This window comes from Homo sapiens, chromosome 2 (genome assembly GCF_000001405.40).
Source record: "Homo sapiens chromosome 2, GRCh38.p14 Primary Assembly".
NCBI classification, from domain to species: domain Eukaryota; kingdom Metazoa; phylum Chordata; class Mammalia; order Primates; family Hominidae; genus Homo; species Homo sapiens.
Window position 1 is genome coordinate 237,489,619 of NC_000002.12, and position 19,815 is coordinate 237,509,433.

Here is a 19,815-nt window from a genome sequence, read left to right on the forward strand (position 1 = left end):
CAAGAATAACACCACACGACACACCTTGGCTCTGAGTCAGAGAGAGCATTCCTGCTGTTGTTAGCTTGCCAGTTTGTTTGCCCAGGCGAGTAATCACCCACAATCACCATTGTTCCAAGGCTCCCCAAGCAGCCAGCCCAAGAGCTAGTTAAGCCAATTCTTCATCCAGGAGGAACCCCCACCCTGATTTCCCTTCAATTTGGCCAAAAAATTAATTCAACTCTTTAGCGGATAAAGATGACACACTACTGGAATTCAGCAGTCTGGGCCTGGGATACCCATCTTATAAAACCAGCTCCACTCTCTCCTCCCTGCCTATTAATCCCTGTGTCCCGTCCCTCTGCCCCACTATGGCTATTCAACTGCTGGGGAAGGCTGGCTGTCTCCAATGTTTAAAATATGATCGAATCTGAGCAGTGGAACAGGCAGTAAGTGGAAGTGTTTTGTTCAGGAACCTCGTGAGCAGGCGTTATCTAAACAGAAATGGAACAAGGAGCAGATAGAGCAGGGTGGCGTCTGCCCTCCCCCAGCACATACTCTGGGAGCCCCCACCCCACCCAGCTAGGGCAGGCACAGAGCAGCCCTGCACTCCTCATGGGTCTAGCATATTCTCTGCCCTCACCTCCCTGAGCCCATGGAGGTCGAGGCAGCAGTGAGCCATGATTGCACTATCGCACTGCAGCCTGAGCGACAGACCAGGACCTCATCTAAAAAAAAAAAAGAAAGAAAACCATTTGAAAGGGGATAGAATGGGGGAGGGACAGATATCCAAGCAGCCTCTAGGACATTGGTTGTGATGCTCTGTGATCTTTTTATCCATTCACTTCCTGGTCACTGACTGTGCTCTAAGAATGTGAAGCTTGCAAGACAAGAAAAGCAGGTTTTTCCTTTTGTTTTGCTTTTCTTCCTCACACATCATGATTTAAGTTTCTCAAACTGAGGCCTGGAATTTTGGCTTCTATGTTAGGAGAAGAGAGGGAATGATAATGCCTCAGCTGATGGTCACACTGTCCATCCATTCTGAAAATAGAATGTCGGTGAATGCTCTTCTTATGATCCCTTTTTTTTCAGAACTCATGAAAAATAAAAGTGAATGAACTCCAGTCATGCATCAAATAATAACTTTTTGTTCCAATTCTTTAGAAACCAGAAAGTGTGTGCTCTGTGAGAGCATCAAAAATGAGTTCGGTAGTAAGTCCATTTCTTGACCAGAACCTAAATCTGACTGTAAAGGAACAGAGTTTGAATGCTCCCAGGGCATTGGGGCAATCTCTTCTTGTATTGCAAACACTCAACTTTATGTTTGAGAGTGGAAATGTTGACGAATGGGTGCAAAAAAATTCAACGAATTATCCTTCTCCATTTTTATGGCATAAGCCAGGGACTATTTTGGCTGACTTCCATGACAGCTCTGTAGACATTTTTATTTTAAATGGTATCTGCCCAGAAAATGTCCCTTTTCATAGTTAACCTCTTGTGCAACAAAATCGAAGTACGTCTCCAGCACAGGGGGAGTTTTGTTAGTATTTTTATGATAAACGCTTCCAAATGGTCAGCAGCACTGATGGGAGATGCTTCTCAGAATTCAGAAGCAAAATTGTGTCTTTTTGGTGGTTTTGAGACTTCCCCCTGAAAGCACACAGATTGGACCCCTTCTCTAATGTTCCTGAGAAAATAGGTTCAAGTCCTCAAGGAAAACTTATTGAAATTACGAGGTGGTTTTTAAACTTTCAGTTACTCACAACAGAACTCCCAGTCATCCATTCCCCAAAGCGTCAGTGCCCAGAGCAGAGCTGGTCTGTCTGTAGCTGCAGCATCTGAGGGCCGAGGGCTTCCCTGGCACAGCCTGCTGCACACCAGGGAGCTGCAAGCACAGAAAAGCACCTGCCATGTGCTGGGAACGGACAGAGGTGCTATTCTTGTGGAGCTTAACAATAACTAATGAGACATCACCAACTGTTAAGGGGTATAAAGAAACGTTAAAGGGATGGGGACAGGTGAAGGAGTAAAAACCACAGGATGATCAGGGAAGTCCTCTGTGGGGAGCGTGCACAGTTTTGCAGTGTCCCAGTGTGCATGCATTGGTGGTGAAGTTCTCCCTGGTACAATTGTTCCTCCAATTTTATACCCAGCAGTAATGTCCACATCAATATAAGCTGTGAGGCCTGTGTGATATTGCCATATGAAAAGCCAGCAAGTGGATCTGTCATTCTCTGCTCAGCCACCACCACTGCATCACTCCCCTGCCTCACACCCATCAACCACCTGACAGGATGTACAGGCCAAGGTCCTCTGTGACTCGCCGCCCACTACCCAAGTGAATGAGTCTCCCCTAGAGCTTTGCTACTCAGAGGGGTCTGAGGACAACAGCATGGGCCAACACGTGCACTCGAGCTGCCTGGAGATCTTGTTCAAAGGCAGATTCTGAATGAGTAGGTCTGGGTTGGAGCCTGAGAGTCTGTACTTCTAACAAGTTCCCAGGGGATGCTGCCAGTCCACGAACCACATTTTGAGTAGCAAGCAAGATTCTAAGGTTCCACCTATCTTGGCTTTTGACATTTGGATTTTCCTTCCTCTGTCCTTTGGACATTGATTGGGATCAGGTCTGATGAACTTCAAAAAAAAAGGGCATAAGATCATCTGAGGTTTGACTTCTTGGTCATCAGGTTACCTACAAACACAGCATCACATAGTGCATTGGGTGGGGCCGCTGCTCTGCTGAGCAGCTGAGTCACACCAGATTCTCAGACAGGCACCATGGCTCTTTGGGAGGCCAAGGCAGAAGGATTACTTGAGCCCAGGAGTTCAAGACCAGCCTGGGCTGCATAGTGAGAACTCGTCTCTAAAAAAAAAAAAAAAAATTAAGTAAAATTTTAAAAAATTTAATTAGATTTGCTGAGGGTGAGGCCTGGCCACCAGTAGTGTTAGGTGATCCTAATACACCCCAGGCATGAGAATCCCTGCTGGGCAGCCCCACAGCTGACCTCTCGAGTAAATAAATCTCAGCACCTACTGCTCATCCTGCCCAGATGTTTTGTTCTCCCAAGTTGCATCACTTTTGCCTCCCCAGGGAAATTATGTGGATATTCCCAGCACAAGCACATCGCCCTCACAGGCATCAGGCTCATATGACCTCCCCCTGGAACCACCCCCAAACACACACATGGCAAACCTAAACAGCCCCCCACGCCCAGAGGATGGTGAAACCTTCCAAGTGCTGTGGAGTCTCCCAACTTTTCCACCTAGTGGGTCAGTCATCCAGGCGTCCCTGCCCACACAGAGCCTGCAGCATCGCTCTAGGAGGTCTAGGAGATGCACAGGAGACTCTGAGCTGACTATGAATTTGCTGTGAAGTTTCCTCTTTTCTGTGCTGTTCCCTCTCCCAAGAAACTTAAGGCGAGAAGCCTCAGGAATGGCGCATTTCTCCCAGGGTTTTCCATTGCAAAGCCCAACCCTAGGTGAGGGAGAGGAGCCATGCCCCTGGATGGGGAGATCACTGACGTTCATCCCACAGTGGAAAGAAAATGAGAGACCCGTGGCTGAGTGTGTTTGGGAGAGTAGGAAGTAGATCCCTTTTAAAATTCGAATGTGGGAATTTTGCATAGATTCACTTAAATTCATTAAACTACACAAGTTTCCAGACAAGCATTAGAAAACCATTTAACCCAAGTACAGACAGATGTCCTGAGAAGTCAGCAGCGTTCTGTGTTGTCTCTTACTCTGTGACTTGATTGGTATTGGTAGGCTTCTGGGACTGATGACTTGTGATCCTGTGACATTCCAGGTGTGACCCCGACAAGAAGCAGAAATGGGGAAGAAACTGGATCTTTCCAAGCTCACTGATGAAGAGGCCCAGCATGTCTTGGAAGTTGTTCAACGAGATTTTGACCTCCGAAGGAAAGAAGAGGAACGGCTAGAGTGAGTGTGCCGTGCTGAGCCCACGGAGCCCGGGGTCCCTGATCTTCCCCCAGGGCCATCATATGGGTGCTGTCTGGGTGGGTCAACAGCCACGTGCAGGGTGAAGAGTGATGGACAGGAAGCCAGGTCTGGGACACAGCTCTTCTTTCTGGCCTTGGTTTTCTCAATGAGAGGATCTGACTTGCCAAACTGACATTCACTTGTTCTCTGAATAGTTTTATTTCAACTTGACCCAGCTTCCAGGGTGATATATCCTAAGCCAGGTGATACTTAGGCCACATCTTTGAAGAATAGAGCAAAAGGTGATACATGGGGAAAGTCTCCATGCCATTCTGAAACACCTAGATGTTGGAATCAAGTCTTTAGGACAGAGGCTGCCCTTCCACCTCTCTTTTCAGCAATGCCAGGTAGCATCCCGTCCTCACCATGGGTGACCCCAGCACGGTTTTGTTCCACTCTGCCCAGTGACTGGGCTAAAACCCACCCATCCTTGTTCACTCTATCCACTGCGCATCTTCCTCCCCCCTCTATCTTCTGGGCCCCCTTATCCTTTCTTGATGTCTTTAGTAGATTGGGTCACCCTATGGGAAGGAAGCATATGAGGGAAGTAGTTAAGCAAAAGCTGAGAGGATGCTCCCGGCGAAGGGGGGGGCAGAGAGCAGAGGACAGAGGGCAGAGGGTGGAGGGCAGAGGGCAGAAGGCAGAAGGCAGATGGTGGAGGGCAGAGGCCAGAGAGTGGAGGGCAGAGGGCCCCGCTGAAGATGGCAGGAGGGAGCCTGGTGTGCCCCAGGGAGAGCACAGGCTGGCGAGGCTGGAGTGGAGTAAATGAGGGGGCCAGGAAGAGAGGCAGTTGGAGATGTAACAGGTGGGGGGCATGGGATCTGGTGCCAGTCACGGGGGTCCTGTAGAGCTTCACAGGGCCTCACCCTTCCCCTGAGTCACCACAGACCTTCGAGCAGAGCAACAGCAAGTCCTAGTTTCTGTTTCACAGCGGTGGGCTCTGTGAAGTGGCCAGATGCACTTTGCAGGCAGAGCCAGCAAGCTTGACCAGAGATCAGATGGGGGGTCTCCAGGGTGAGAGGGATCAAGGGCAACTTCAAGGTTGTGGCCTGAGCAACTTCAAGGACAGAGTTGAGGTCAGCTCTGCTGGGGAGGCCACAGATGGAGAGGTTTGGGGGAAATGTTTCAGGCATGTTGAAGTGACATCACGCAGGTGTGTTGAGCGGGTGTTGGATACATACACTAGTCCGGAGCTCAGAGGAGATGCGTTACGAGAGCTTCGTAAAGGTGAAGCTTCATATGGTGAAACGGATGAAAGGTATTTGTATTCATTTCTGGGACTGCTGCATATGTGACTTGTACAGTACAGATTTAGTGGTTTAAAACACACAGCTGTCCTGCAGTTCTGCAGGTCAGAGGTCCTAAAATCAAGTTGTCCTCAGAGCTACATTCCAGCTGGAGGCTGGAGGGAGGACCCATCTCTCGGCCTTTTCCAGGTTCTAGAGGCTTCCTGGATTCCCTGGCTCCTGGCCCCTCCTCCACCTCCAAGGCCATCAGCACAATGTCTAACAATGTCTCTTTCTGCCACTGCCTCTCTCTCACCCTCCCTCCCTCACCTGTGCCTCCATGCTCACATCTCTCTCTTTGACTTTCCTGCCTTCCTCTTTCCCCTATGAGGAGAAATATGGTTACATTTAGGAACTGCCCGTATCATCCAGGACCCTCTTCCCATCTCAGGATCCTTAATGTCATTCCATCGGCAAAGTCCCTTTTGCTATGTGAGGTGACATTTTCACAGGTTCTTGGGACTAGAACATGAATGCCTTGGGGCAGGGGGTGGCAGCATTGTTCAGCTGACCCCAGCATTTAAAGCTGCAGGGCCATAGGAGACCGCACTGGAAGGGAATTTGGATGGGGACCAGCCCCGGGGACGTGAGCTCAAGCATGTTGAGGAGACAAAGCACCAAGAAAGGAGAGAGAAGGAGCAGTAGAAGAGGGACTTTGGGTTCCCATGCTGAACAGGGTCCGCAACAAACCGTTAGGTGAAGCAAGAGCAGTTCAGCCCCACATGGAGCAGGAGGCGCTCGTGTTGGTGGGGAGGGGCCGGCGTCAGAGCCTCCCCACCGTGTGATCCCCCACTCTCCCTCGGCCCTGGACCACCAGTCACCCCTGGATTTCATTATAGCCCAGGTTTCACCACCGGCCTCGGGGGAGGGCCCAACCTGCTGGCCCTGGTACAGCCAGTACCAGCCTGGTGGCCATGGCCGGCCACGACCACCTTCTCAAAGCCTGAGCAGAGGCTGCGGACCAGCATGCAGCTGACCGCAGGGCTGACACCCTGTCCCCTTTACTCTGGCAGGAAAATGCGGTCTCACGGGCCCCGTCCTCACCCCTCCACTCTTGAGTCTCAGATCCCCCATTTCCACATTCTGAAGTCCCTCACCCTCTCTTTCCCATTCTCTCTACGTAAACTCAAATGTTCTCTCACTGTTTTCACCAGAGCAGCAATCCCTGCGTCAGCTTTGGCGTTCAGGCTGTGCCAAGGGCAGAACATCGTTCTCATTAGTAGAACCCCCTTCTGGGTGGATCCTTCCCAGGTGCATCCTGCCCTGTCTCCAAGGCAGCCCTGGCTATTGTCAGCCCTTATTTCAAATGGCAACTTGTAACTTCTCATTGCCTGAGTATAGGCGAATGCAGAGAAATGGAAAAGGGGGGAGAACCATGTTTTCCAAGGAGCAGAGGGAGGGAGCAAGTGGGGCCTGGGGGTCCCGGACAGGCACTGTCTTCCAGGGGACTGCTGAGTGGTCCGCCCTGCTCCAGTCCAGGCTTATCTGAAGCGGGTTTAGCAGAAACCCCCATGCGTTTCCTGTCTGTGGCTCACCCCCTTCTGACACCCGTCTTTCCTTATTTCATGCTCTTTTCATCATTTCACATTGCAAAGAAGGGACACACCCAGGTCACCTCCCAGAACTCTTAGGAAAGGACGCACCCAGGTCACCTCTCAGTACTCTTAGGAAAGGACTTTTGTAAGAATATGGGTTCTGATGACCCTGCCTGGTGGGCCGCTGATGGCCAGTTGGTTACAGCCGAGGTCACATTGTTCATTCTGTGCCTGAGGCTGTTTGCTCAGAATGAGCCAGTGGCTGGGGCGTTAATTGGCCCAGTCTGCTATGTGATTAGGGGGGGGCTTGTTAAGTCCCCAGATGTCTTCCGATGGGAAGGGGCCGCATGAGCGTAGAGTACTGTGTTGAAAATGTCAGTGAGCAGAGAGGCAGTGCTATGAAAAGCCTGTGTCAAGGTAGTGTTAGGTCGAGAATACTGAATGCCCAAGTGGCATTGCTATGATGGGTCTTACTATGAGAGTACATGTCAGCAGGTGACACATTTGGGAGGCAAAGAATCATGTAAACCAGTGGTCCCCAACCTTTTTGGTACCAGAGACCGGTTTCATAGAAGACAATTTTTCCACAGATGTGAGGGGCTGGGGGAGGAGGCTGGGGGCAGGGTTGGAGATGGTTTCAGGATGAAGCTGTTCCACCTCATTCTCGTTCTCATAAGGAGCACACAGGCTAGATCCCTCGCAAGCACAGTTCACAACAGACAACTATGGGAGCTCTATGAGTATCTAACGCTGCCGCTGACCTGGCAGGAGGCGGAGCTCAGGCGGGAAATGCTCTCTTACCTGCCAATCACCTCCTGCCGTGCAATTCGGTTCCTCACAGGCCAGGGACACTTACTGGGCCACAGCTGGGGCTTGGGGACCCCTGATGTAAACAGTGTGGTGGCAGAGGTAGTTAAGAGGTTTTTGAGTTTCTTATTGTTTCATTTGTGCTTGTCTTTTGTTGACTGCCCTATTGGTTAAATATGTCACTAAAAGGAGAGCTGCCTCTACCTGTGAGAAGACTTTTCACAGGTGCCTCGTGAGCCCCGGGGAGTGGCAGGGCCCCAGCGTGTGGGCACGCATCAGGTGCAGGTGACTTGAGCACCGCAAGGTCAAAACACGCCTCGCAGTGTGCTCTGCTCAAACCAGGTGGTGTGGACGCTGTGCAAGGCCACAGAGGAAACAAGCATAGAAAAAAGGCTCTGGTTCTTGGCACCAAAATTGGTTCTGCAGAGGAGCTGGCGAAAATACCAGAAATCCATGATGAAACGGAAGATAACTCTTACAATAATGAACCTCCTTCCCTGTCTTTCATCATTGCTAATCTGTGCGTTTAACCAATTTCAACATGAACAGTCATCTGTGTGCTGCCGCCACAGAATCCCGTTCTCTGTAGCGTCTCTCTGGGTGACATCCTCGGGGTCCTCATGTCTGCTCCCGGTCACCGAGTCTTAAATATCTGAATCAGCAAGAGGCTGGATGAAGAAACTGGTGCTCGAGGGACCACTAAGTAGGTGGCGGTAACAAATGTAGCAATTCAGGAGCCGCCCAGCAGTTTCCCATGTGTCTCACAAACTCTGAGAGGGAAGCCCGTGGGCGCGACCCAGCCCGAGGAAACTCAAGGCCACTGATTGGAGAGAGGAGAGAACAGGGGTGGGGGAATTGTGAAACCAAGAAACACACCATCGTTTCTTGGAAAGAGCTTTACTACCCAGAATATGCATCAGGGGAACACAGCATGCAGACTCAAGGCCAGTGCCCCAGAAACAAGTTTGCCAGGGGGTTGATTTGCTTAAGAGCGGATTCACTTAATGCACCAATTATCAAACCAAAGAAAATGCATTTCTTTTAACAGTCTTAAAATTAGCAGATGTGTGTCAGATGGATTCCTGCTCAGTATTTCTCTCCAGATGTGAGCATCAATCACGTTGAAGGACGCTGGGCAGGGTCTGGAGGTGACGCCTGCGCCTTTTCCCACAGCGTCAGAACAACACAACTTTGATTTCTCCTCTGTCAAAGCAGGGACAAACAAGCTGGTCCAGATCCCTGATATGCTGGAGGAAGGAGGGCATGTGACCCTGAGACCCCCATGAGCAGCATCCTGTCCCCAAGCCACGGAAGCTCCTGCTCCCTTGGCCAGGCCTGCCCCTCCCTCCAAGCTGTGCTGTGGACATTCGGTGACGCACACGCCTGACAAGGCTCTCCTTGCTGGCCCTTAGGAGGGATCGGTGAGAAGGAAGGGGAAGCCAGCACGTCTTGATCTAGCCCAGGCAGGCATAATCTCTCTCTCAAGTCATCTGTGCCACTAGGGATTTGGGAATGGGCTGTTTGCTATATAGAGTGGGAGGGCTGTTCCTGCCTCCCACGAGGACACAGTGCTGTGCACCATAGAATCGAAAACTTGAAGATGTACAAAATTAGGATGTTAGCACCACTGGCATCAGATAGGCATTTTAGGATAGATTTGACTTAACACCCATGTCCTATCCCAGGAGCTGCCCGATCAGCAGCCCCTTCTCAGCCTTTGTCCCTCCTGACCCTCTGCTTGTCCTGGGTGTAACTTTCCCCACACTCTCTTGACTTTACTCTGTGGTTAGTTTGAAGCCTCCTCTTTTTCCCGCTGGCCCATTATTGGAATAAATTGCCAATGACAGATCTTCCCGGAGGGTTTCGTCCATATGCTTTCATGGATGGATCTTTTAAATGGTCAAAGAACAGATAAATCCTGTGTGATTTAAACTGCTTCACGGCAGAGTGTTCACTAGCCTCGCCCTGACACCTCATATTGATGAAGATAAAGAAAAATATATACATAGCCCTGTTAAATCATCATATAAATAGACCTAAGGCTGCACTGTCCAGGACAGAAGTTACTAGCCACTAGTGGCTATTAAAATTAATTATAATTAAATAAAATAAAATTATAATTAAATAAAATTTAGCTCTTCAGTCTTATTAGTCACATTGCAGGTTTTTGATGGCCACATGTGGTTAGTGGCCACCATATCAGATCTTTGCAGAGGCCCATTTGGACTAAGGTAGCAAAAGTCTTAAAAGTATGCTCACCTGTTGAGCCAGCAGGTCCTCTGCTGGAAGTCATCATAAGGAGAGAATCAGACAAGGGTTACAGGAGAGAAGAACTAGAAAGACCCTAATGTCCAAATGTTCAGGCTTTGGTTAAATACCAAATTTAACAACGGATTTAACAATAGGTTGCTCAGCACCCAATGAAAATAATGATAGAAATAAATTGACATTAATAGTTCACAAGACATTGTCCAGTAGAAAAAGCAAGTTGTGAAAATGTAATTTTATCCCATTTTACTTTTTTTTTGTTTGTTTTGTGAGACAGGGTCTTGCTCTGTTACCCAGGCTGGAGTGCAGTGGCGTGATCATGGCTCACTGCAGCCTCGACCTCCCAGGCTCAAGTAACCCTCCCACCTCAGTCTCCTGAGAAGCTGAGACTACAGGCATGCATCACCACACCTAGCTAATTTTTTAAATTTTTTGTAGAGATGGGGTCTCTCTATGTTGTCCAGGCTTGTCTTGAACTCCTGGGCTCAAGTGATCTTCCCACTTCAACCTCTCAAAGTGCTGGGATTACAGATGTGAGCCACTACACTTAGCCAGATTTTACTTTTTTAAAAAAATACGTAGAAAAATCCAATAATGGTAGCAGAAGCTCAGCACTCATTGAGCCCTCTCTGGATGTGGCTCTACGTCGTGTGTTGGAGTCTAGTCCCTTCTCTGTCTCCTTTGCTGGAACTTCTTGGACTCTTTAAATATTCCCTTTCGCAGGGTCGAGGGCCCTGGCCTCAACTCTCTTCTCTGCTCTGTGTCACTCACTTCTCCAGTGACCTTGTCCAGCCCCAAGGTTTTAAATGAGTTCTAGACCAGCACTGCCTGATGGAACTTTCTACAGTGATGGAAATGTTCGTATCTGCATGACCCATGTGGCAGCCACTAGCCACCCAAGGCTATGGAGCACCAGAAGTGTGGCTAATGCAACTGGGGAAAAAAAGTTTTAATCGTATTCAATTTTAATTAATTTAAACGTAAATAGCTGCATGTGCCCTAGCAGCTAGGAGCTACTACAGCAGCTAGACAACACATCTAAACAATGAGTCCCAAGTTTACACCCACATCAGAGACACATCCTCTGAACTCTGACTTTTGTAGGCAAAGGCTTGCACGACACTGCGGCCAAAGTGTTCCACTGACATCTCTGTCCCAGCATGTCCAAAACAGAAGTTGTGATTTCTCCTCCACCTCCAAGCACCCCATCCCCATCTTGGATGCAGGCTGTTGCCAAAGTTAAGTTCCCAGGACTCATGGCTGTCTCTGCTCCTTCCCTCTCACCCCACACCCCACACTCAGCCAGTCCCGTGGCTCAACCAATACAGCCACTGCTCACCGCCCTCAATGCCAGCCTCAGGTCACGCCACACTGTCTTTCTTGTGGACACCACAGGAATCCACCCCACACACACACTTACTCTTCTCTCCCTCCACCCTCACCGTCTTGTTGTCCATTCTCCCCACATCCCCCAGACTCATGCCTTAAAAATGTGGATCAGGTCATCCCCCGGCTCATAACCCCCACAGAGCTTCCATCACATTTACGATGAAATTCGCCCTCCTCACCCCTGCTCACCGTGGGACCTCACTCCCTCCTCCATTTCCTCCTTAGCGCTTCTCCAATGCCCAGTGAGTCATTTCCTTGTTAGTGTCTTATCCCTGCCGGCATCTAAGCCCCATGAGGGTTCTGCTGCTTTGGCGCTGTGTCACCAGCCCCCAGCACAGTACTGACCATGGAACGACTCCACAGCTCTCTGGGCTCACATTGGATGATGACCTCTTTCAGCTTCATCTCTATTGTCTCCTTTAACCCTCAGACACCCCTGTGATGTGGTTACTTTTACTGGCCCCATGCACAAGTGAGAAACTGAGTCTGGGGCGGGTTACCCAGCTGTGATGAATATCTGGTAAATGTTTACTTTTAGCATTCGCGGGTCTATCTGCAGTGAGTGAGAGCTTGCTGTGTATTGGTGTATTGTCTCGTATTATTGTTCCTCTCATCTCCTATTTCCCCCATAAATATATATTACATCTAAAATAATTCACTCTAGGCCAGGTACAGTGGCTCACACCTGTAATCCCAGCACTTTGAGAGGCCGAAGAGGGTGGATCACCTGAGGTCAAGAGTTCGAGGCCAGCCTGGCTAACATAGTGAAACCACGTCTCTACTAAAAAAAAAAAAAAAAAAAAAAAAATACAAAAAAATTAGCCAGGCATGGTGGCAGGTGCCTGTAATCCCAGCTACTCAGGAGGCTGAGGCAAGAAAATTGCTTGAACCTGGGAGGCGGAGGTTGCATGAGCTGAGATCGCGCCACTGCACTCCTCAAAAAATAATAATAATAATAAATAAAATAATTAGATCTAATTCCTTAAATATCTAATGTGTGTTAAAACTTTTCCGCTCATCTCCAAATAATGTCCAGACCTTACACTTGCTTGCTGTATCTTTTAAGTCTCTTTGAATCTGTAAGATCTCTTTTCAGCTCTGTTTTTTTAATTTGAAGCTTATGTGTAGAAGAAAGCTAGCTGTTTACTTTTGTGGAATTTTTCACAGTCTGGAGTTAGCTGAGGATATCCTCGTGATGTTTGCACCAAAGTTCCATTGTCCCTGTTTTCCTGTAATCTGGTGGTGAGTTCCATAGAAGTGGTCCTCAGAGTGCTCTCATCTTGAGTGTTTTAGATTCATTCATATCACTTGGGTATTAAGAAGGTTTTAAGTACAGAAAAGATTATCACATGTTATTATTTTTTAATGTTCTACAAATACAAAGTAGGGCCAAAGTAAACCTTCTTGAAGGGAACATTGGTTAATAGTCACAGCTTTTAACTCCTTCTGTCCCCAGAAGAGCCCAGAACTTCTTAGGCACCCATCCCTGTCCTGGACCCAAGGGACCTGGGGCTGTGCACAAAAGGAGCAGGCCTCCTCCTGGGCACCCTGGAGCTTGCATTGGTGCTGATTTGTGTCTTGCTTTGTATCATGCTTGTGTCAAGTTCTCCCAGTAACTGCTTTCTGCATTTGTTAGGGTAGCCCCTCAGCTGTGGTTATGGTAGAAATTAATGGATATTCTCCAAACCCAGGAAGAACTAGGAGACCATGCATAGCCGGACTTGGGTGACTCATGCCCTGGGGGAAAGGCTGAAGCCCAAACGGAACACCCTGTTTTAAAGGACACAGCCTACAAATCAAATATTAGGACTGCCAACCTGCCCTGGAAAGGCAAATAGGTGGTGACGTGGATTTGTGATCTCTGCAAACAGAGGAGGTTCAGAGAGAATCTGTGAAGGGTCTCCTAGTATGAGACACGGGCAAACCGTGGCTTGCTTTAAAAAAAATTTTTTTTTGACCAGGCTCGGTGACTGATGCCTGTAACCCTAGCACTTTGGGAGGCCGAGGCAGGTGGTTCACCTGAGGTCAGGAGTTCGAGACCAGCCTGGTCAGCATGGCGAAACCCCATCTCTACTAAAAATACAAAAATTAGCCAGCCATGATGGCAGGCGCCTGTTGTCTCAGCTACTCAGGAGGCTGAGGCAGGAGAATCGCTTGAACCCGGGGGGCAAAGGTTGCAGTCAGCCAAGATCACACCACTTCAGTCCAGCCTGGGCAGCAGAGCGAAATTCCATCTCAAAAATAAATACATAAATAAATAATAAAAATCCATTTTTTTGATCATAAGGAATTTGAAATCACCCTTAGCCGGACTAGTTGGAATCACGGACACAGGCAACTCTAGAGATGAAAAAAATAGGGGCTAAAACAGGGACTCCGCTGCCAAGGCAGGGCCTGGAGGGGAACATTGGTCTGAGATGTTTTAGGAGATACTCTGAGGCTCCGTCTCTCAGCGCCTGCCGTTCTCACATCACCACTCACTTCCTCTTCATCTTTTTTATCGTCATCTTGGTCTTCCCCTTTAGAGGATCTCCAGGAACTTGAGTGAGTTTCCAGCTCCCTCGTGGTAATTCCCGACACGCGTTCCCAGGATGAGGAGCCTGGGTCCCCGGTGCTGCTCCTCAGCAATGCTGCCGTCTTTCCGTCCTCTGCCAGCCGTTAGCCCTGACGTGAGGTTTACTTTGGTTGCCACGCTTTCAGTCATTTGGCCCCTGGATCCTGTGACTCACTGGATCTTTTGTGCTCCAGTCCCCAACTCAGGGTCACCCTCAGGAATCATTTCTCCATTACCTGGGGTCTGTCCTCAGGCTGTTTTCTCAGGCATGGCATGGAGTGTGGATTTTGTCTTTGAGGATCTGTTCCACTTGCCTGGGAGTACAATCTGACCTCACACGCTTTCCCCTACAGGCTGTGGGGATGCTTACCGGTGGTAAGCAGAATAATCCCCCCCAAAAAGATGTCTACTTCCCAACCCCAAGAACCTCTGAATTCGTGAGGCTATACAGAAATGGGATTATGCATTTTAGGCTGCCCACCTGCTGGCCTGGACCTGGGAGATGATCCCGGGTTCCCTGGGCGGGCCTAATATCATCACAGGGGCCTTAGAAGCAGAAGGGATGGCTGGTTTTGAAGATGGAGAAAGGGGCCAGGAGCCCACATACCTGAAGCCCTCAAGAAGCTAAACTGCCAGAGAGCAGATTCCCCTCTGGGGGCTCCAGGAGGTGCCACAATCCTGCCGACACCTTGATGTTAGCTCAATGAATCCTGAGTCAAACTTCTGCCCTCCAGAGCTGTCAGGTAATGCATTTGCATTGTTTTTGTATTGTGTTTATTTTATTTTATTTTGTTTTTTGAGGTGGAGTTTTGCTCTTACTGCCCAGGCTGGAGTGCAGTGGCGCAATCTCAGCTCACTGCAACCTCCACCTCCTGGGTTTAAGCGATTCTCCTGTCTCAGCCTCCCAAGTAGCTGGGATTACAGGTGCCCACCACCACACGGGGCTGATTTTTTGTATTTTTAGTAGAGATGGGGATTCACCATGTTGGCCAGGCTGGTCTCGAACTCCTGACCTCAGGTGATCCACCCACCTTGGCCTCCCAAAGTGCTGGGATTACAGGTGTGAGCCACCGCAACTGACCAGCATTTGCATTGTTTTAAGCCATGGAGTTGGTGGAGCTCTGAAATGGCAGCAGTTGGACGGGAGCCACTGCCCCACGGCCAGCCCTCAGCCTTGCAGAAGGGCCCCCTGCATGACCTCCACTCTGTTGGAGGCCGCCGGTTCTGTCCACCATGCTGGTAGGGATTTTGCCCGCCCTATAACAGAGTGGTCTTGTCAGTCTGTGTAGGCATCTCCTACCATCCAGCGACCCCTCTAATCTGAAGACTCAGCTCTTTCTTTGTTTCTTCTCTCTGGTTAGGAGAGTTTTCCTGTGTTGTTAGGGTGACGGCTGCCTCAGTGGCATGGCAAAAACTCATGGTCGAAAACTTCACCCAACCAAGCCGTGCAAAGGAAATACAGGTCTTTTATTTCCCATCTGCTCCCCCTCGTGAGACCCCACCCCTTGAGCAGCAAGACAGTGCAAGCTTCAGGGCTTCAGATCTCCCAGACTCTGCTCACTTACCGGGTCTCTGTTCCTGGCTCAGCTTCTCTTCCAGAGCTCCCCACAACCCCACCTCTGCTCCCCAACCCATGCTTTTGGCCAGGCCAGCAGCTGGGCCTTGGGAGAAAGGCTCATGACCCTCCCGGTGGCCAGGTTGATGGGGTCTGGACTCCACACACTGTCCCCACCTCCTTGCTGGTCCTGATGCAGAGTGGAGGGCAGGTCAGCTTGCAGGATGGGGACCGCTGGCTGGTATGTGAAGGGTACTGGCCGGGCACTGAGATACGGATGGCACCCACCACTGAGACCCTGATCCCAGCCACATACCCACGTGCTGTGGCCTCTTCCACCAACCCCAAGCCTCTGCCAGTCCCCTGGCTGCTCCTCATCGCATGCAGTCCTGCTGGAGCATGGTTTAAGGATCACAGGGATGTGGATTCCCCACCACCCCAGCACCCAACGCAAGTGGAGGCCCACAGGACCCCTCATGCAGGCTCTTCCCCCGCCTGTGTGCTGGACCTTGGGGATGGCCACAGTGGGAGCTTCCCCCTGCTGTGCCTTCAGGGGTGGCCACCAGCCCCGCCATCCTGGGCTCTCCCCAGTATTCCTGCATGTTGCCACCACACCCCTGTCTAGATTTCACCCCAAGAGGGGCAGAGCAGGGCACAGGTCTGACCCCTTCACCCTGCGTGGCTCACCAATCCTGTCCAGACCCCATCATAGGAGCGGCCTTTCCTTCCTGTTCCCGTCCTAGAAGCGTTTTCCTTCCCTGGTATACGCCCTTTCTTCAGAGGCTGCCGGGCCTCCCTTGAGGACAGGAGTGCCCCCTTGGCTCTGTTCTGCCCCACCAGTCACAGCTCTGGCATGCGTGTCCCAGGGCCCTCTGGAGGTGGGACTGCAGAGGACAGTAATGTGGGTCCCCTGCCCCAAGGACAAGGACAGCACTTCCCTTCCACCCCCATGCATCCCCGTCTCCAGGGCTCTGTCTCCCCTGGGAGCTCACTTTCTCGGCCTTTGCCATCATCTCCCCACTGTCTCCCATCGCTTAGTCCCTTTTCTCCACATTCTGGGAGGGAGAGCAAACTTGACTTCGAAATCAGCAGTTCTCAAACCTTTGGGCCTCAGGACCCCTTCACATTTCCTAAATTACTGAGAACCCCAAAGAGTTTTATTCATATGGGTCATATCTATTAATATTTACCACATCAGAAATTAAAACTGGGAGTTAAAAATATTTATTTATTCACTCATTTAAAAATAACAGTAAACCCCCTACATGTTAATATAAATACAGTTTTTATAAAAAATGAGATTTTCCCAAAATCAGAGTGTGAGTAAGGTGAGTGGTGTTGTTCTGCTTTTGCAAATCTCTTTAATGTCTGTGTAGCAGGACAAGCCACAGACAAGAACTCCTCAGACACCGAATTGTAGAAGGAAAGGGCTTTATTCAGCTGGGAGCATCGGCAGACTCACGTCTCCAAAAACCAAGTTCCTCGAGTGAGCAATTCCTGTCCCTTTTAAGGGCTTACAACTCTAAGGGGGTTCATGTGAGAGGGTCATGATCGATTGAGCAAGCAGGGGGTACGTGACTGGGGGCTACATGCACCTGCACCAGTAATTAGAATGGAACAGAACAGGACAGGGATTTTCACAATGCTTTTCCGTGCAATGTCTGTAATCTATAGATAACATAACTGATTAGGTCAGGGGTCGATCTTTAACTACCAGGCCCAGGGTGTGGCGCTGGGCTGTCTGCCTGTGGATTTCATTTCTGCCTTTTAGTTTTTACTTCTTTTTTCTTTGGAGGCAGAAATTGGGCATAAGACAATATGAGGGGTGGTCTCCTCCCTTATCTGGAACAATAGAAGATGGGTGAATTCTCCACTTGCTTCTGCATTCAGTGGGTCGTAACATGTTTTCTAGGCTGTAGTATTTGAAGAAAATCTAGGCTCATACAGATACATAATTGAAAAAAGGAGTACTTGAATAGCCTTTGTAGACAATAATTAACATCATGTGTTGTTACAACATGAAAACCCGGCAGTTGGAGTTGGTAGTTTTTTTCCTTTTTCTTTTTTTTTTCTTTTTTTTTTTTTTTTTTTTTGAGACAAAGTCTCTCTCTGCCACCCTTGGATGGAGTGCAGTAGCGTAATCTCGGCTTACTGCAACCTCCACCTCCTAGGTTCAAGCGATTCCCCTGCCTCAGCCTCCTAAGTAGCTGTGACTACAGGTGCGTGCCACCATGTCTGGCTAATTTTTGCATTTTTAGTAGAGACAGGGTTTCACCACATTGGCCGAGCTAGTCTCAAACTCCTGACCTCAAGTGATCTGCCTGCCTCAGCCTCCCAAAGTGCTGGAATTACAGGCATGAGCCACTGCGCCCGGCCAGTTGGTAGTTTCTTAAAGGTTAGTTGTGATGTGGAATCTGAAACCATGTTAATGAACTTTTCCTTTTCTGTTTGTTCAAATCCATTGGTCTCTCTTGCACTTGAAGTGGATTTTCTACCCCTGTGTGATTTTTGTAACACCATGCATTAATCATTTGGAAGACACCGGCTCACTGAGTGATGCAGACTTCTCAAATGTTGACACATTTCATATGCACACCAAAAGAGAACCACTTCTGTTACTCTCACCAGCGATCTCATCAAAAGTCTCCCGGTGTTGGAAACCCTCATCAAAAGTCTCCCAGTGTTGCAAACTGTCAAGCTCACAGCAGGCGATATATGTTTTCCAGAATTCTACTTTGTGCTTGAAAGCTTCCGTTTTATTACTGGCAATAAATACTGTCACTTCTTTTCCTTGAAGTGAGAGTCGCACTTTGTTCATTTTTGAGAAAATATCTGCCAAGTACCCAAGTCGAAACAGTTCATCTCTCTGTTGTTCTCTCAAGTGAAAATGCTATTTCATAAGAAAAGTTTCTAGCTCAGGTGGCGATCGGAACAATTGCCCAATCCTTTTAATAGAAATATCTGTCACCTTCAACACGTGGCACAAGAGCTTCCTGTCCTCCTCCAAGCTCATCAGGCAGAATCCTCAAAAGACATGGACTGGGGGCCACGGTTCAAAAAGACTCATAACTTTTAGGGTTTCATCAAGGTGATTCTTTAATGAAACTGTTTTTTCTTCTCATTTCTTTTTCTTTTTTTTGAGACAGAATCTCACTCTGTCACCCACGCTGGAGTGCAGTGACACAATCTCGGCTCACTGCAACCTCTGCTTCCCTGGTTCAAGCGACTCTCCTGCCTCAGCCTCCTGAGTAGCAGGGATTACAGGTGTCCACCACTGTGCCTGGCTAATTTTTGTATTTTTAGTAGAGACGGGGTTTCACCATGTTGGCCAGGCTGGTCTTGAACTCCTTACCTCAGGTGATCCACCTTCCTCAGCCTCCCAAAGTGATGGGATTACAGGTGTGAGCCACTGCACCCAGCTCATTTCTTTTTCAATGAAGGATCTAATGACTGTCAGAGCAGTTGGGCCCACTGCCCTGACTCGTGCTAAAGCCTCAGCAGTTTATCCACCATTGTTTTTACACCTTCAGTGCAGGCATCAAAGAGCAAAGAAAAGGCAAATGATGTCTCAGCATTATTACAAAAATAGCTTTGGCCTTGTGACTCACCCCCCTAAAGGATCTTAGGAACCTCCAGAAGAGAGGTCCCTGGACCACACTTTGAAGACCACTCTTCGAAATCATTGGATCTAATATTCCACGGTAGAAATTGTGCCCATTTCCCCCTCCATTGTGAGCTGTGATTTCTCGCCATCTCTGTCTTAACCAGTTCTTCTCCACCTCCACCAGCATAGCCGGTGGTGCTCCCATCTCAGCCTGGTTTCCTCCTGTGTCTCCTCTGTCCCTCTCATTGAGACTGCACGTACTTGCTTATGCCCCATTCAGCACACCAAGCTGACTTGTTTCGAGTCTGTTTCTGATGGTAAGTCACATTCAGGAGGGTCTTTTATTCCTGAAGCTAACTTTAAATTGGAGCCACGTGCCGGGCTCTTGCCTGTTGAGGAGTGACTTCTGGTCAACCCAATTAGCAGAGTGCATGGAGTGCTCTGGCCCCATTCACTCCTCAGGATCGGAAGCTCCGGGTCTTGTTGATACGTCCTGGAGTGGCTGGCAGATGTCATTTGGTCTCCCCAAATGGAGTCTTCTCTGCCCTCCCTTCCTGGTCTCTGGCTATGAAGAAGGGAAGTTATGTTTTAAAGAATCTAAAGCACAGTACAGTTCTCCTTTCCCCTAATTTCAGCCTCTGAAATATATCAGCCTCCAGCTGCTGCCCCAGGACACTTCTGGGCTCTTATTTAAGAGGACTCCTCCAGCCTGGAATGCAGGGCAGTACACATGTCCTTGTCTTTCTTCCTGCTGTGCTGGCCCTCAGGGTACCGTTCTGCCTGGATACAGAAGAAGAGGTTCTCCCTGGGACAGAGGCTAACAAGCCCTGTCCAGCGAA

At 49.2% G+C, this 19,815-nt stretch overlaps 1 protein-coding gene across 15 annotated transcripts in view, besides 2 other annotated features; it reads left to right on the plus strand.

The window, feature by feature from the left end:
* The window catches only part of MLPH (melanophilin), a 68,913-nt gene that overhangs the window by 3,209 nt on the left and 45,889 nt on the right, over nt 1-19,815 (plus strand). For all 15 annotated transcript variants that reach the window (NR_104019.2, NM_001281474.2, XM_017004893.2 and 12 more), the window contains one exon: nt 3,785-3,918. Coding sequence is in view for 14 of the 15 variants with exons in the window: in NM_001281474.2 (NP_001268403.1) it covers nt 3,809-3,918 (110 nt within the window). In the remaining variant the exon portion in view is untranslated. The remainder of the gene's footprint in view (nt 1-3,784; nt 3,919-19,815) is intronic.
* Nucleotides 668-962: a silencer, noted in NCBI's record as "tiled region #758; HepG2 Repressive non-DNase unmatched - State 22:ReprW". NCBI's record gives its function as "represses a minimal TATA promoter and a strong SV40 promoter by Sharpr-MPRA in HepG2 cells {active_cell/tissue: HepG2}" and the evidence as "EXISTENCE:reporter gene assay evidence [ECO:0000049][PMID:27701403]".
* Nucleotides 7,782-8,282: an enhancer, noted in NCBI's record as "H3K4me1 hESC enhancer chr2:238406043-238406543 (GRCh37/hg19 assembly coordinates)". NCBI's record gives its function as "activates a minimal SCP1, AML or CMV promoter by ChIP-STARR-seq in naive H9 embryonic stem cells {active_cell/tissue: H9 hESC(naive)}" and the evidence as "EXISTENCE:reporter gene assay evidence [ECO:0000049][PMID:30033119]".